The 18,740-nt window shown below is 39.6% G+C and overlaps 1 protein-coding gene across 7 annotated transcripts in view; it reads left to right on the top strand.

Moving 5' to 3' along the window:
* The window catches only part of CCDC85A (coiled-coil domain containing 85A), a 202,323-nt gene that overhangs the window by 5,947 nt on the left and 177,636 nt on the right, over positions 1-18,740 (top strand). For all 7 annotated transcript variants that reach the window (XM_024452642.2, NM_001080433.2, NM_001348512.1 and 4 more), the window contains exon 2: positions 2,679-3,642. In XM_024452642.2, the coding sequence (XP_024308410.1) occupies positions 2,679-3,642 (964 nt within the window). The remainder of the gene's footprint in view (positions 1-2,678; positions 3,643-18,740) is intronic.

An 18,740-nucleotide genomic window follows, 5' to 3' on the forward strand; every position in this document is an offset into this window, starting at 1 on the left:
AGTATTTTTGAAGGTCTGATTGAGGAGTGCTTGTGTTCTAGTGGGTGAGGGGAAGGAGTGGATGGTGCAAACAAAGGCAGGGAGGCTGCCTGGGAGGCTGTTGGCAAAGGTCAGGCCTGAAAACAGAAAGTGGCAACGAGAAGCAAAAAGGAGAGGTGGGAATTAGAAGCAAAGGAACAGAGTTGTTGGTGATGCCAAGAATTAGAACTGGAGTTAGAAACTAAGCTGCATAAGCTTCTTCCTAATACCCACAAATTCACTCCCATGACTTTAGGAAGTGGAGGATGTGGTTGACAGGTGTTTTATAATTTGTTTTTTAGTCTATGTTAAGGGCAGTGTTGAAATCAGCCTGAGTGTAAGTGAATTCAGCCCCCTTTCTGAGTACCTCTAGTTCTGGATCGGTTCGCAAGACCAAAGATTTTTCAGGCTTTTTGAAGCAGTGAAATCTTAGGTAGCAGCCCTGTAGCTGCCCCTGTTTCATCCTTACCAAACTACAGTGCCTCAAGGAACTGCTGGCTCCTTGACTGTATGCATAAATGGAGAATAGGTGGGAACTCTACTAGTCATCTTAAAAATTCCTTGGCTTCAGGTATTTGCGCAGGGAGTGCTGTGTTCTCCATACACAGAAGTACATAGATGAGGTCTCTGTTCTTGTGACTCTAGAGAAGATGTAGTCTAGAATGAATGGTCATACTCACACATTTCTTCTTACAAATTGCAGTAAGTCTGAGGGATGATGGTAGACCATAGATTGGGGGTGGACCTTCTATAGAATGGTGTCTATGGGGAAGTGACTTATAAAATGAGACCTGATGGTTGTCTAGAAGGCTGGGGAGAGCATTCCAGGTGAGAGGGAAAGGCCTTGCCCTTTGAGGACCTGAAACACAGCCTCAGTGTGTGATGAGGAGGGGTGTTCCCACCTTCTCCACTGCTACCACACGTCCAAGCCACCATCATCTCCCTCTACCTGGACCAGCCCAGGAGCCTACTTGTTAATCTTGCAGCTTCCACTTTATCCTGACCCTCCCTTCTTTCCTCCCCTACCCCAGTCAGTCTGTTTTCCACACAACTATGGAGATTCTTTGCAAAAGGAATCATGTAATGTCACTCCTCTATCCTCAGCTCCCTAACAACCCAAAGCCTTTCCCGTCGCTGACCATGCCATGCATATTCTAGGCCCTGATGCCTCTCAGACCCCCTTTCCCATGTCCGTTGACTTGCTCTCTGTTCTTTAGACATGCTCACCTCGCTGTACTTGAGCTCTTGCTCTCATGCTGGTCTTAGGGCTTTTTACTTGCCCTCTCCCTGCCTGGGATCATCTTCACTCAAATGTTGGCTCCTTCATTCCACCCAGGTGCCTGCTCAAATGTTTCCCTTCTCTGTAGCGGTATCTTCTCTTGAAAAAGAGTATTCTTTAACCTGCTTCAATTTTCCTTCCAGAACTTCTCACTGCATGACGTTATGCTCTATACGTGTTTTTTGCCAGTCTTTCCCACCACAATAAAAGCTGTACCATGTCAGGGTCTTTGCTGTGTCCACTGATATATCCCTACCACCTGGACTGGTACCTGGTACAGTAATAGATGTTTACTGAGTATTTGTGAACAAGCAAGTGAATCATCACTCATGCAGGAGAAGTAGGCAGAATCAATGTACCTGGAGCCTTGTGTGACTTAAAGGATTTTGCATTGTATCCTAAGGGCCATGAGATTAAAGGATTTCAAACATGGGAATGACAAGATGAGCTAAATTTTGGAAGTAGAGCTCCAAAGCCTTGTTTGGTTTTGAAATGGAAGGTTGAAGGAGAAGGAGATGCCAGGGATGACCCCAGGTTCATATAAAGAACAGTGGAACAGAAAGAGGGGGCATTTGCTGAGAGGTGCAGTTTGGGGAGAGAGGTCTCTTAATTTAAGGCTCAGGTTGCTTGAGATAAGTGAGAGATGCCTGGGAGATGTTCAGGTGGGTGTGGCAAGTAGGGGTTGGATGTGCAGGGCTGAAATGCCACTAGAGGGCAATTGTGCCTTTCCCTACCAGGGGAATTGGGGCTGCATATTCCATGTCAGGGCTGAAGATCTAAGCAGTGCTTGCTGTTTACTCTGTTGAAAGGTCTGTTGTCTCAGGGCTTTTAAGCATTTCACAGGTCACAAGCAGTTATTTTTCTTTCTTGAGGGTGAGGCAGGGGAGCCTTGTTTTTATCTAGTGACTGATTTCTTGATAATGAACTGGTTGCTCCCTAACTACTGACCAGATGAACTTGGACAAGTGAAGCTTTGTGAGGTCCGATTTCCTCTTCTGTATAAGAGCCATAATAATTATTATCCCCTAAATGTTTGGGTAAAAATTGGATGACATAATGCAAGTAAAGTATTGTGCAGGGATAGAACTGATACTTAAGTTAGTTTAATTTTTATGGCCATACTAATTATTATCCCCTAAATGTTTGGGTAAAAATTAGATGACATAATGCAAGTAAAGTATTGTGCAGGGATAGAACTGATACTTAAGTTAGTTTAATTTTTATGGACAGCTACAAATCTTCAGCTTCCTCCTACTCCCTCACCTCCTCCCCTAACCTCACAGGTAATTCACCAGTTACAGGCTCTCCCTTTCCAGGAAGTCTGAGCCTGCTGACACCTCAGATGTGTACTTCCCTTGAATGGTTGTGTCTCTCTTTTCAGGATATCAACCAGAAACTCCAGGAAGACAACCAGGAACTGAGGGACCTCTGCTGTTTCCTGGATGATGACCGGCAGAAAGGCAAGAGGGTGTCTCGGGAGTGGCAGAGACTGGGTCGCTACACTGCCGGGGTGATGCACAAGGAAGTGGCCTTATACCTGCAGAAGCTGAAAGACCTGGAGGTGAAGCAGGAGGAAGTGGTGAAGGAGAACATGGAGCTCAAGGAGCTCTGTGTGCTACTAGATGAGGAGAAGGGTGCAGGCTGCGCAGGCAGCCGCTGCTCCATCGACAGCCAGGCCAGCCTGTGCCAACTCACAGCCTCCACCGCACCCTACGTGCGGGATGTGGGTGACGGCAGCAGCACCTCCAGCACTGGCAGCACTGACAGCCCGGACCACCACAAGCACCACGCGAGCAGTGGCAGCCCGGAGCACCTGCAGAAGCCCCGGAGCGAGGGCAGCCCGGAGCACTCCAAGCACAGGAGCGCCAGCCCCGAGCATCCACAGAAACCCAGAGCCTGTGGAACCCCAGATCGCCCCAAAGCACTCAAAGGACCTAGCCCGGAGCACCACAAACCCTTGTGCAAGGGCAGCCCCGAACAGCAAAGGCACCCGCATCCAGGGAGCAGCCCCGAAACGCTGCCCAAGCACGTGCTGAGTGGGAGCCCGGAACACTTCCAGAAGCACCGGTCAGGGAGCAGCCCTGAACACGCCAGGCACAGTGGAGGGAGCCCGGAGCATCTTCAGAAACACGCTCTTGGGGGGAGCCTAGAGCATCTCCCCAGAGCCAGGGGCACCAGCCCGGAGCACCTCAAACAACATTATGGAGGGAGCCCTGATCACAAACACGGAGGAGGCAGTGGAGGAAGTGGAGGCAGCGGCGGAGGCAGCAGGGAGGGCACCCTCAGACGGCAGGCACAGGAGGACGGGTCACCCCATCACCGGAATGTCTACAGTGGCATGAACGGTGGGTCAGTATGTGCTGGGGTGCTGCTTGGGCTGGGGAACTCAGTAGAGAGTTACGAATGATGATGGACTTTCCAGCCATGTAAGAAAGTGCAGGCGCTAGCTAGGGAGTGGGTTTGGGGAAGGAGCAAATGTTGGACCCAAAATCATGATATGGGGTTCTTCTCCTCCATCTGTTTTTATTCTAAACAGTTATCAGTCAGTGTGAAGAAGTTTGGGGATGAGGGTTTATGGGAGGGAGAGGAACAGTAATTCCTTAGGACCTTGAGTTGTCAAAGGGAAATCTTTGGGTATTGGTGATAAAAAATAGAACCATTCTAAGAGTCTTTCATCTTAAACCTGAGCATTTTCTTAGTGGTGTGTGCTGTTTCCTACCAGAGCTTGTTTGTGGAATGGTTGCCAAAAGGATTTTGAATCCAGTTAATAGGTTATATACAAGAAGATATGAATATTTCTATGAAAAACCAATAACATTAAAAAAGAAGTATGATGTTCCTAAACAGGCTTGATGCTGGTCTGCCCAAATGGCTATAAATATGCCTGACTTTACCTTAAGGATTTTTTTTCCATTGTGTTGGAGGCCTGAATCTGTGACATTTCTTTGCATCTAAAACGCATCAGCTGATTCCCTTTCTACTCACTCAAAATCCACCAACACTGTCATCAAACTCCCTTATACATATTCCAAATAATATGCTGTCTTACACTGCAAGAGACATCTTTCCTGGTTGTTTGAAAGTACCTTTTTAAAATGTACAGATGTGTTTGGACACTCTTTTGGTTTCTAAAGCATAACGTCCACTACATTTGCTGAGGCAGTGCTAAACCTGAGCTTTTAAACCTTTTCGAAGAGGTTTAATTTTCTGCATCTTGGATCTGAAACCACTTTGCACTTGAGAGAGAAAAAATCATTTCTTAAAGAATAAAAAACAAAAAAACTCCACAATCCTTTTATGTTACCTATGGTTGAGTTGGATCTAAAACGATTGATTTTATATACTGTGGGGTTTTGTTTTCATTGAAAATATCTGAGGGTTTTTGCTTTATTTGGAAGGTGCTCTGGAGTCTGCAGCCAGCTCCAAGCAGTAGTGGAGGAGGCTGCCAGTTTTAGCAGTGACAAGAAGGGGTAAATTTCAATATTGTATTTGGGGATTTACCTGTTGGATTCCATTTTATCCTAATCCTTTTCTCATAGTGCTGAAAATTGCCTCCAGAAACTTGACTTCAAATGCATGCAATGTTCTTTTAAGCACAAGTGGAAATAAAAAGGTTGGGAAAGATGAGAGGCTACTGCTTTCTCTGTCGTTGGGAGGTGGAGGCCCAGAGAAGCCAGTTTACCTGTTGTCTTGAGGCGTCCTGGCTGGTGCCTTTCCAAGGTTGAACCTTCACTCACTCTTCCCAAGAGCCGTGGAGATGCTGCCCCCACCCCCACCCCATTGCTGTGGGCAGTCTTGGCTGCCCAATTCTGTACAAGAGATGCAAGTCATTTAAAAAGAAAGTTTGGTTGTGTTACTATCATGAGATTGGTCATTGGACATGAAGCTTGTCTTTGAAGAGGGGATAGTGGAGTAATGGGAAGGTAAAGTTAATGATTTTTCCATTTCTTGATTACTTTTTAATGAGCTTGAGAAGTAAATATGTGCACCATTAAAAGGAAACTTTGTCTCTGAAACTAAAAGAAAATATTAGGGACAAGTGGATCACTTAAAAAACACTTTCTCTTTACAAAAGGGCTTCTTTATATAAAGAACTCTAGTTTAATCACTGTATGATTTGACTTCTAAGAAAAGTTTTTAGATGCAGCTTTTAAACAATGCCTTGCATTGTAGGTAAGGTGCATCTCCTAGTAAAGATGACATTACCTCATAGCTTATTGCCTGGATACAGAGAAACTTAGTGGGGCAGGTAAATGTTTCTTAAAATTTAACACTATAATTTAGTTAAAACTGATGTAATAGAATGATAGTGAAGTTCAAATCTTATGTCTACTTCAAGTTTTCTCATTCTTAAGTGACCAATCTTATGCTGAGAGTTGATATCCTCAGAGTATATTTGCAGTGCATTTGCATTGTATTTTAATTTCAGTAATTAATTGGAAAATGAAGTGGCACAATGAGATGTTTATGGATCATCAGCCTATAAACATGGGCATTGGTAACTTGTATTTATCCTGCTGTTACAAATTAACTTTTGATATGGATGGTAAGACATGCTTTTTCATATTTTTAAATCCTCACACAATTTGTTTGAATCATTTGTGTGTAAATAGATAGGAAGCAGTATCAAGGTTAATTCAGAATTGCAGATTTGCTGACTCATTTCCAGAGTCATTCTGCTTGGGGTTGGTGTGAAATATGAGTGTTTTGGATGAGCACTTGCATGTTTTTATGTGAACAAAAAGCATGTGAAAACAAATGGGAAGTGTGTGTGCATTATGGCAGACTGAAACAGAAATGAAATATACATTGGCAGGATATTGTCCTACCTGTAAAGATATGCATTCCCTCCCAAAACACACACATATGCACACTGAGAGGACATCAGTGAAAAAGATGACTGTTTTCGTTGACTGTGCCTTGAGCATTTATAAATCTTCTTGTGCTTATAATTACAAACTCAGTGGATGAAATATTGAACTCATTCAAGAGTTTCTTTTGGGAATGCAAAGATAAATTTTAGCTATTTTTTCTCTCTTAAAAACATCTTAAGTCTCTATAATAATTTCTTAATTAGTAGGTGTTTAGAAAACAACAAAAGCAAAAGCAAAAGAAATATTTAAACAAATCTCCAAACTAAACAAAATTCTCAAAAATGCATTTAACTCTTTAGAAGTTACTGTTCAATGATTTCTTTCTAGTTTGTGTAGAGTTCCGTTTTCAAATAGGAAGTAGATTCAACACTTACCACATCTAGGCATTCAGGCATTTGTCCATTCATTCAAATTGCTTGCTTATTTCATATTTGTAAATTAAGTAATTGAATAACCATTGTCATTTATAAATGTTCATAAAGTGACAGCCTCAACTATTGAGAATGGGGGTTTCACTTACTTGATTCCATTGACATCCAAGGTTGAATGGAATTTTCTTAGGCAAAAATGTTTCCTTCCACAACAAAATGAAAGAGTTGTGCTTCCAGATACTAGCTGGCAGGCCTTTGCTTTTAAACAGGTAACTATTTAGCTCAGGTCATGGATGTCTTGGATGATTTAGGCTCTTCTAGCAATAGCTGTATTTGTTATTGGCCTTCAAGACAAAGAAGATTCTGATGATCACAGATCCTTACAAGTAGCTCACCCACTGGACATAATGAATGCAGAAGAAAAAATAGTAAAAATAGTTTGATATTAATTCTAGAAGCACATATTGCTGGTGACTGGCAAATGAGAAGGAATAAATAGACGAAGAAATGGTACTCTTCATTATCTTCTTTCTTCTTCGTCTTCAAAAAAAAAAAAAAAAAAGGAATTGTTTAATTATCCTGGTGGGTCTGATTCCCTTTGCCTTGTTAGAGCAAGTTTCAGTGAGCAGTAACATTGTGCTCTCCTTAAACATCACTCCAGCCAATGAGAGCAAGCATGAGGAAATCATTCACCTGCATTAAACAAGGTCCATTTAGAACTACTTTGGTCTTGCTGAATGGAGTGTCAGGGTTGTAAGTCTTCCTCCTGAAAGCTTCCTATTGATTCTTTTCTTGTTTTGTGAGGGTATCTCTCGAGATGGAAAGAGCAGGCTGTTTCTCCCAATGAACTCTTCTAGTTCACGGTTTCTTTACAGCTACACTGTTATTATTTTGGACCAGATAATTCTTTGTTGTGAGATGCTGCCTTATGCATTTAAGGAGGTTCAGTAGCATCCCTGGGCTTTACCTCTGAGCATCCCCCTAGTTGTGGTAATAAAAAATGTCTCTAGACACTGCCAGACGTTCCAGGGTTGCGGGGGGTTGTAGGGAAAATTGCCCCTGGTTCAAAACCATTGCTTTAGAGCAGTGGTTTTCAATCTAGCTGCAGATTAAAATCACTATGATAGCTTTGAAAAAATACTGGTGGCTGAGCCTTACACTGCACTCTGAGATGCAAATTGAATTGATCTGGCACTGGACTTGGGCACTTTGCAAAAAGAGCTCTCAGGTGATTCTAATGAGTGGACCAGTTGGAAACCATTGCCCTCAGTGAGTCATTTTGCTTAAGATGGGTTGGTGTGAGTGAAGGTTTCAAACACTCAGGCTTCCTGGGAAGAAGAAAACTTCTCCTTTTCCTTTGCTTAACTCCAGGACTGGGAAGGACTGATCCCAGCTGTTACCGTAAAACTTCACTCCATTCTAGACTAAAGTTGTCTAATAACATACTATCTGGGGATATGGGTTGAAAATTTGTGTTTTTGATGGGTGGAATTGTTAGGCTAATTTGAAGGCAACTCTGACATATGAGTAGGCTCATGACTGCTTTACTTTTTAAAGCCTTTACATCCAGATAGAAAAAGAAGCACATGAGTTTCTAACCTATTTACGGCGGATGTCGGTGACGCCTGCACTGCCGGCAATGCTAATGGGTATTTCCCACAAGAGAATATTGCATTTCAAATCTCCCACTTTGTGGTTTCACCCAGAGTTTTAAGACTGCTCCTTATTCTCTGTTGAGGTTATTAATGAGTAAACGAAAAATGTTGATAACACAAAGTGGCCTTGTCTATGAGGGGTCAGATAACCTGTATGTGGAAGACCCCAGCAGTGTTTCTCTGAAGCGGGATTGTCTGTGAATTAAGTAGTGTGCACTATAGCATGAATAATTACTCTCATAAATCTTTCATTTTGTTTAAAAAAGTCAGCACATCACTTGTGAATGAATTTGGACAATAGAAATTGAATGTCTCCTGGGAGAAAAATTTTAACAGTTACAGTTATGGAACACCAGAACTGATTTTAATTCAGGCCCTCTGTGTGTATTTCTGTTGTGTGAACTGACAGATGGTTAAAGAAATAATAATGGTTTTTGTTCTTCAAACTTCAATACTGTAATTTGGTAACCTTATGCACACTTTGATAAGACATCAACTTAAGTTTTTGATAAAATTGATTTATTGTACCATACTTGTATATGCAAAGCATATTACATTTATCATAAGGATACATTTTGACTTAATGACATAGAAAGCTTAATATTGAAAATATAGTTTGTTTAAGAAAATTGCAATATATATCAGAGGAAAACTATTGGAAAACCTAGATGGCTTAGAAAGGTATTTTCTAGTACAGTGTAAGGTTTTCAACTCCACTGACAATGATAGCACAATGCTATAAATGTAATTTAAATCTGGAGGGTCATTTTCATCTTTTTCCTATGGAGATTGCCTATCAACTTTGTATATATATGTGTATACATATGTTTATATACATTTCAGTGACTTTAATATTGCGTCTGCACAATGCCAAACATTCAACTGTTTTCTAGTTGGTCAAGCTAATGTTCAAATGTGTCTGGCATCCTGTCACATAAGCTAGTTGCTGCCATAAAGTAAACCAAGAATCTCTTTCAACTGATTATAATCCTGTCCTTTAGACTCAGTTGAAACCAGTGAAATGTTTATATCTTCTGGCTTGTTGCAACTTTTCAGAAGATATGATAGAAAAAAAATGTGACCATTGAATTAGTGATGCATGTATCATTTCATTTTACCTGAAATTGGTTAGAACAAAGGTTGGGGAAGTGAAAAGCTATGGTGAGTTATTCCATTTCATCAGGTCACAGCTTTTCACAAGGGTCAAATGAATCAGACACGTGAATACAAATGCATAAGTACATGAATAAATGAATGCAATACAAATACAGAATGTGTAGGGCTATACAGTTAAGTTGTAGTAATGATAGATTATTCTGGAGGCAGGGATGTAGGGATGTTAGTCGATCTCCACTTTACACTCAGAAATAAGAGTGTAAAGTCAAAGTTTGCCAAAGCTTTAAGAAAATAAATAATTATAATGTTTTACTTGTGTAGCAACTTTGGGCCAGTGTATCTGTGATTGGAGTAAGTTTTCCAGGCTGAAATTTATCACCTTAGGCTCTACGACTTACTTTTGATGGTTAGAGATAGAACTGTGGATTCCTTCATTAAATGGCCCTGTATGAGTATTCTTTTTTTTTTAATCTCCTAAAAATAGATTTCCAATCACTTCTAGTACTGCCATGATGTCAGCTGCACTCCTTGCTGACCTCAGCAGGCCTGACTTTAACTCATTTTCTCATTGTTTCTAAATTCTTTTCTGCTGTTCCCAATGGCTGGTCATAGCTTGGGAATGCAGATAACTGCCCTGCTTAGAAATGTGTTTAAAATAAATAACCATGAGGTGTCCTTCTAAGAGTAAACTGCATGAGCTTCAGTGCATAGTCCATATGCCATAAGTATTTTAGCTTTTCAAGGTTCAGTTTTGCTTTTTATTTTTATTTTTATTTGAGATGGAGTCTCGCTCTGTTGCCAGGCTGCAGTGCGGTGGCGCAGTCTTGGCTCACTGCAACCTCCGACTCCCTGGTTCAAACGATTCTCCTGCCTCAGCTTCCTGAGTAGCTGGGATTACAGGCGCACACCACCACGCCTAGCTAATTTTTGTACTTTTAGTAGAGATGGAGTTTCACCATGTTAGCCAGGATGGTCTCCATCTCCGGACCTGCTGATCTACCTGCCTCTGCCTCCCAAAGTGCTGGAATTACAGGCGTGAGCCAACACACCCAGCCCGTTTTTGCTTGTTGGCTGAGTCTTGACTACAGATAAGTGAGGCACTATGTTTCTATAATATTATCAACTCAAATATTTGCTTCTTGGATACTTTGGTATAACCAAGTTGCCCTTGATAGTACTTTAATACATAATATTTATGGTGAGCATTGAGCATATTTGGAAAATATATTTATTTTGAATTTGATTTTGGGACCTATTAAGAATCGTTCCATGTTCTGAAATGGGCTGATTTGCAAGAGAGCTGGGAAATTTGAGATTCGATATCAAGAGTAGACTACGGGACACTTGAGGATACAGACATAAAGTCTCAGCTCTAATTTATAAGTCTCTAATCTGCAAAAGAGTGAGGTTCAAGTTACTGCTGCTCCTGACATAAATTGCTTTCTCTTTAGAGTGCCGTTCAAGTGTTTCCAATAGAAAGAACCTCTGCTCTTTCTTAGATAGAGGATCCTTTAGCAGCAGAGAGGCAGGAGAGGTGTTTTTGAAAAGGGAAAATGGCAGAGGAGTAGCAGGTTACATTGTCATTCTTATAAAGGCAATACTGGTTTGTTGTTCCAAAGATAAAAGACAATAACTGGGTTATTCACAGATGGCTGTTCATTTACCATTTTTACATAGTAAAATTTATGTGTATTATGGAATTTTTGTCTCAAATCATTATGGAAGAATACAAGAAGTCTTGGGACTTCATCCTGGCTCCTGATCAAAATTAGGCACATATTCAATTACCGGATAAATGAAACTTCAGGAATTATATCCAATAGTTTTTTTTTTTATTTAAAAATTTATCAGAATCTTAGTTATTTAGGCCTTCTGTAGGCTTTTCCATGAGACAGGAGATATCTAAGGGAAAAAGAGTGGATTTGGTAATTGCTCAAAAACTATTTCAATTATTTCATCTCTCTCCACACACACACACACACACACACACACACACACACACACACACACACACGTACATACACACAGCATTTAGTGTTCTTGTATGTATATTTAAAAATGTTAAATGCATTACGTTTAAAGATATTGAATGGTTTTTTTTATACCTCCTTCACCTTCATTTTCAGCCGTATGAAGGAAAGTAAGTCCTTTAAAAATTTTAAAACCTGGCAAACAAAATATTTTTAGCACCAGTTTTGCCTGCTGGTATGGTTGAGGGATAGAACGTTTAGATTAACTTTGGAAGACTAGGCATTTGAAAGTGGTCTCTGATACTCCCTGGTGAGTTGGCTTTTCTAGTGAGATCTAGTTACATATAGTCGTTGTTGCATTAAACTCAGAATTTTGCCTTCTGGTCTTGATTATAAAGAAAAGTGAAAAGTCTTCTCATCTTTCTCCTAATTATTGAGGGACTTTTTGGCTTTTAGGGAAACCCCTGATCTAGGCTGTATGTAGCTATAACTTCCTAAGTGTCCATAATTGCTAGTTCTTAAAAAATGTTAAAAAGCATGAATTGCTTTTGGGGGCATGGTTTGTGTTTTCTTACCAGTAAGAAAGAAACCCAATTGGTAGTGAATATGTACATGCATATTTATATATGCATATATTGATGCATATAGTTTTTAATTCAGTTAAATGAGAATAGATGTATATATTAATGCTAAAGAATAGGAAGAAATGAGGGCAATATAGCTGTATTTAGTTTAGAACATCATAGAATCATAGAACTTAAAGCCATAAAGTATACTTTATGTTAGAGCTGTGACGTACTCAACCCGCCCATGTTCTGAATGAAATGATTGACTTCCAAAGAAGGTTAGTGAATTGTCCAAGGCCAGATGTCAGCTAGTAGAGGACTAGAAAGAATCAAGCTGACTCCCAGGGCACAGGGTCAGTGTCTAAAGAAGACATTTATTCTTCTAGACATAGAGGCCACTTGAGGTAGAGGTAATGTTAATGATAAAGACCCTAAATGGAATAAGGAACCAGTTTTTCTCAATTCTTATTGGAAATCCCAGAAAATTAGACACATGCAGTGATGAGAGTGTGAGATAAGATAAGTATCACTAGCCTCTGGCTTAGAAAAGTATCAGAGAAGACCTGGTGATCTATTTATTAGGTGAGCTCAGAGCTATTGCCTGGAAACCTGTGATTCAGCCAGATGGGACACACAGTTCACAGCTGGATGGACAACTACCAAAATGCATTTTTAATAGAAGGAGTATTCCTATTCCTAACCTGGGAGTTCAACAACCTTAGTATCCTTTTTCCTCCCACACAGACTCTCCTTACCCCAAGGCCATATTCCTTCCAGATAAACATTCTTGAGAAGATGGTCTGACCTTAGTCTGGTCCTTACATAGCCACTTGCATTCACAGCCAAAGTGCTGTGTCCAGGGAAGTGTTGGTTTCTGGAATGCAAGAAACAGAAGGGAAAGAGACCAGGAGCAAAAGGATGGGCCAGATGGCAACACCAAATGCTCTCAAGGAGTTGCGTTTTTTAATAACTCAGCTAACTGCAAACAAAACTAATTAAGCCAGTTATTCTGATTTATGCTACTATAGGCAGAAGTAAAGTACACTTACATTCCTCTTTTGATGACATTTAAAAGGTCAGAATACCTGAGTTGCAGATTTTTGTTCATAGCAGCCTGGGCTGTTGAACCACTCTTGAGAATTCAAATTAACCAAGCTCATTAATTCAGCATCTCTTCTGTTTCCCTAGACAGCAAATGCCAATTCACCCATCCACCCAAACAGAATAATAAGACCCTGAAAGGCAAGTCATTAGTCATATCTGCGGATGATGGATTAGATGTGATTTAACAGGAAAGTGAGGTAAGAGTCAACTTATAGTAAGGAAGAGAGAGTGAAAATAACAGACGAAGGCAATTGTGAGACATCAGTTTTTGAGGGGGATGCTGTGAAGAATTTAAAGGAATCTGTTTGGTTGTGTGTGTTGTTAATGGTCTTATGTTGATTGGCAGGGCAGTCCTCTTCACTGTTACAAAAGCTGACCAGAATTGCTCTGGTTATGGAGTCATGGGAGAAAGTGGCTGAATTTAGCTGCTTATTTTACATATGAGGACACTTATGAAGAGAGTACATTTATAATTATGATCAATTTGAGGTCTAGGAATAAACGTTATCCAGGTGGTTTGCCATGAATAGCTCCCCCAGTATAGTGACTTTCATGAGAAACAGTTTGGAATCAAGCTTTTCAAAATCTGTGGAAGAACAGGCTTGAAAATTGTGTTTTTTTTTTTTCTGTATCTCTTTAGCACTTAAATGGACATCAAGTTCAAGTCTTCAGTCCCTTATTCTAAAACTATATGCCATGTGGTTTTCATCTTTAATTTCTTTGGCTTTTTTCCTGTTGCAGTCTCAAAATTGCCCACTTTGGGGCTTATTGGCCTAGCACATAAATCTATCTTCAGTGGAACCATTTTTGCCAGAGTCTGCACAGCCAGGTATACAAAAGACATTGATTTGAAAAAGGGAGCTAAGCTGGTTTGATTATTTCTATTCGCAAGGCATATGTAGTTATTTTTACATTTCGAGTATCCCTGTGGACTTTCACCCATATGTTAAGGTAATATGTGGTTACCTTAAACTGACATGTGGCATCTAAGCTTTATTTACAGCTTTACGGCAATGAAAAACAATTTTATAAACCCCCTTTAGATAAATTCTATTTTAATTATGAATAAAAATGACATTTATTTAAAATGTGTTTAAAACACTTTAAAATAATTGACTTAAATTCCCATGGAGTTTAAAAAGAGTGATGTGATACACCAACTTCCTAAAGGGCTGGATAACGGCATGCCTACCCAGCTGGAGTAGATTCGGGACTGGCTTTGCCACTTTCTTGCTGTGTAGCCTTTAGTACACCATCAACCTCTGTGGGCAAAATAATTTATCCATCAAGCAAGGGGCTTAGAATAGAAATTTTTCTGAGTCAGTAGTACCAGAATTTAGATTTCACAGGTAAATAAAACCTGAGAGTAAACCTGGAATTGCCAACTTTTTACTTCATTAGGTGTAGATGGTAAAATAATCATCTGTTAACATCATAATTTCATAGAAGAAGATCCTTTAAACACAGTGAAAAATTACATACATTTACTAAAGGGCAATCTTTTTCTCCAAAGACATACCGATAACATTGTATTCTTAAATGTCTATTCACTGTTTTGGAATAATAACGACATATAATGAAGTGTTCAGATTCAACAATGCAACAAAGTTCATTTATAGTGCTGAACATGTTTTAAGACCTTATTTTTTAAATCTCATCCATCATAGAAAGTCTGATTTCACACAGGTTTGTATGTTGATAAACATAAAAGCCACAGTGTTAACTCAGTTTTATTTAGGCAGGTTTTGGGTGAGGAAGCCGGAAACCACAGTCCATGCTGCCTCCAGCTTCTTGCCCTTCCTCTTCCAAGGAAAGGAAGAAAGGAGATTAATCTACCTGTATGTCTAATTGGCTTGGACTGGCAGCTTTTCTCCCTACCTGCCACTCACCTGACTTCCTCCAGGAGTTGTGCATCTGGGCCTGGACTTCTGACATGGAGCAATGAGGATATGTTTGTTCGGACAGGAATTCTGTGTGTAGGTGGAAAGTTCACCATGCATGGCATGACCTATAAAGAACCATTGTTCTACCTTCTCTCTGCACTCCTGTGCCTGGTCAGAAGCCTGTCAGGATTGCAGCAATTCATCTAGCAATATCAGAATAAACCACATCCTCTTTGAAGCACCACAGTGATGAGTCTGAACACCTCTCGGCAAACGGGGAGCTAAACAGGCTATAGTAGAGGTGACTTGGGATTTGTAATTTGTATACTTCCAAAATCTGTGGATAGTAGCTTTCTTTTGCTTGGTCAGGTCTCAGATGGCAGACAACAAATGGACTGGCCATGTGTATAGCATGTGCATTCTATGTCTAGTCTCTTACATAGTTCTCCACGTTGCTTAGTAAGATGGTGCTCTGGAAAAGAGAGAAGGATTTCCCTTTCCACTCCATTGTAGATCTGATTTTCTCAGGCCTCTTTACTGTCTTTGTACTAGATGGGAGAGTGTGGCTTATCAACTAAAGTTTGGAAGAGAGTAATCTAATGATGAAACAGTGGCACCAGGCTCTTCGTATGTTTTAGTTATGTCCCATTTAAATGGGTTTTGATGATTTTTTCCTGGAAAAGACCAGACATTTTCTCCTTTCTTTGGCACTTTACTTCTATTACTTTACAGCTGACATTTGAACTAGTTTGGAGTAAGGCTCTTCAGAGAAATGGAGAAGGTAGCATTAACTGAAGGGAAGGGCAAAATCTATGGCAATTTCATTATAAATCATTGCCTTGACTAATTAGGAAGCCATGCATGCTAAATAATGTCAGGGATAATAGAGATTTATTACAACAAATTAAAGGCTAGTCAGAGTGTGTCCTGAGATAAACAACATGGTAAAAGAAACATAAATGGCAGTAAGGGGAAGCATGAACTGATAAGACTCATGGATGTGAGTAGTAGTAGGAAACCAAATTATGTTCGTATTTCATTTGCTTTGTATAAATCTCTGCACTGTTCCATGTGTGGATGAGAGATTGAGAATAAACACATACTCATTTATTCAACAAATATTTATTGTGTATTCCATGTGGGTACAGCATGGTAGTAGGTATTATGTGAGGTGTTCATGGTCTGACATGTCCATGGAAGGAGGTAAGTAACAATAAAGATGTATGGTTAAGCAAGAAAATGGAAAGAATTAGCAATTGGTGCTGTGAGCCTGGGAGATGGGTCATTGGCTGCCGTTGTCAGGGATGGCTTCTCAAAGGTTGGTTGTGAGGTTGATTGTTAAGGAATGGTTGAATTTAGATAGGCTGGCAGGAGGGGTGAGGAAGTCTGAGAGAGAAAGTGTAGAGGTGGAAATGAGAAAATTATGTTAAAGGAACAGTGAGGAGATGAGTAGGTCTATGCTTAGGTATTTGTTAGGTGGTGGCAGATAATTTTGGAAAGTGAGTCAAGGCCAGATTACCTAGGGAATGAAATACAATCCAAGAATGTTTTCTAATAGCAACATTAGTTTCTCACACACATAGGAATATAAAATGTTCATCATTCTTTAAACCTTGTGATTAAGTGGACAAGGAAGGCTATTAGCATTAAAAAAATCTTGTTGGGATTTTAAATTGAACTCCAAGTTGAATAGTTTGTTTTTATTTTAAAATTTCTTTTCAATGTGTTAGTTCATTTTGTGTTGCTATTCCAGAATACCACAGACTGGATAATTAATAATGAACAGACGTTTATTTGGCTCATGATTCTGGAGGCTGGTAAGTCCATGAGCATGACATCTATCCAGGGCCTTTGTGCTGCATCATCCCATGGTGGGAGGCAAGAGGGCAAGAGGGCACAAGACAGCAAGCAAGCAAGAGGGGGCCAAACTTGCTTTTATAACAGGCCCACTATCTTGATAACTAACCCACTCCCATGATAACAATATTAATCCATTCATGAAGGCAGAACCCTCATGACCTAATCATCTCTTATTAGGCCTCATCTCCCAACACTGCTGCATTGAGGATTACGTTTCTAATATGTAAACTTTGGGGAACACATTCAAACCACAGCATTAAGGGTTCCTGAACAAAGAGGTTTTACAATGATCAGTGCTTGAGGGCTTTATATACCCAGGTTTGTACCGTGATTTAATCCCTTTTCACTTATTTTATTTTTCTTGTAAAGGTTATGCTGAATTACTGGAGAGTTTTTGCAATGAAGGAGTCATCAGTTAAGAAAATCTATCTTCTGACTAATATCTTCTGAGTCAATGATGAAGGTGTACTGTTTTTTTGGGGAAAATAGGACCTAGTTGCCTGGGAGGCAGAAATATTCTAAATATTCTGCTAAGTGAAAATCAATAAACTAATTCTGTTTAAACAATAAAGGTAGACAAATAATCTTGCAACCTTGTGGACCCTTTGGCTTGTCTAGTGCAGTAAAATTAATTTAGCTTTTACATTTCACTTACTTTGATGTTTTTCCACTTTAGTATTTTGACCTCATTTTAGCTTGTTATGTTCTATCTAAATCTCAGATTGTTTTCAAACTGTGCTCCTTTGAGCCCTGGAAGGTCTGTGGAGCCTCCCTGGGGCTGTTAGGAGTGCATAGGGAAGAGTAGGCAGGCTCTGCCACCCCATTTATCCCTAGCACAGCTCCAGCTTCAACTGGAGCATACTCTACATTTGACTGGTTTGTTTGTTCCCATTTCTGCTTAAGCTCTTAATTGAACAAAGCTGACTTTACAAAGCTGACTTGAAAACCTCTAGTGTTACCCAGTGACACCAAAAGAAGCAAACATTTTGGACACATCAGGCATATTTCTAGTCCAGTAAATGGATGGTCCCACATAACATTATTTTTTGATTCTCCTTTTCACCTGATTTCAGCTGCAATTATAGGTGTGTTGTGAAAAACATACAGTCAAGTTAATTTACAGGCATAGGGCTTTTGTTTTTCAGAGACAGATACGTAAATTGGTGTATCTTTGAAAACTTTCACCTTCAGTTTCTCCTCCTTCATGTCCACCATCTGTTCTTTATTTCATCATGCCTTATGGGACTGTAAAGGAAACAAAATATAAATTCTTTAAAGGAAACCAAGCTTTTGCTGTTTTCTACTTATAGCTGCTGAGGTGCTGATAATATTGAATGATCACTATAAGAAACAATAAACTTTTACTAAGAAACATAATATTTATATTTGAATCCACCAACTCAGCCTTTTCCTCCATTATTCACTCTGGAACTCTTTGGACATAATTCATGTTTTATTGGCTTAATTAGATAAAGGTGACTTTAATTGTGACATCAGTAGATTGCCATTCAAAAACGGTGAGTTCAAGTTTAGGTTTCTTAGTCACATGTCTGCTTTCAATTCTGAGTTCTTATAAAAATATGTTATATTGTTTCTTAAGGATTGATTTTTACAGTATTCAAGATACCAAATTTCATTAGCCCAGAAGAAACTAAACTAAATTTCTAATTTTATCCATACAATGAGGTCACATGTCTGCTTTCAATTCTGAGTTCTTATAAGAATATGTTATATTGTTTCTTAAGGACTGGTTTTTACAGTATTCAGGATACCAAATTTCATTAGCCCAGAAGAAACTAAACTAAATTTCTAATTTTATCCATACAATGAAGTTTTATCCATACAATGAAGCACAATCTCCCACTATTACCCCATTGCACACACATCCAGATATACACATCAACCGACATTGACTTTGGTAACTCACTGAAGATATAGTTCCACTGCAGCAGAGTATTTTGAAGTAGTGGTATAGGTTACAACACATATTTTATTCCCTGTAGTCTCATCTCCTGGAATCCTGTGTTGATGTAAATCAAGAAGT

This window comes from Homo sapiens, chromosome 2 (assembly GCF_000001405.40).
Source record: "Homo sapiens chromosome 2, GRCh38.p14 Primary Assembly".
NCBI classification, from domain to species: Eukaryota; Metazoa; Chordata; class Mammalia; order Primates; family Hominidae; genus Homo; species Homo sapiens.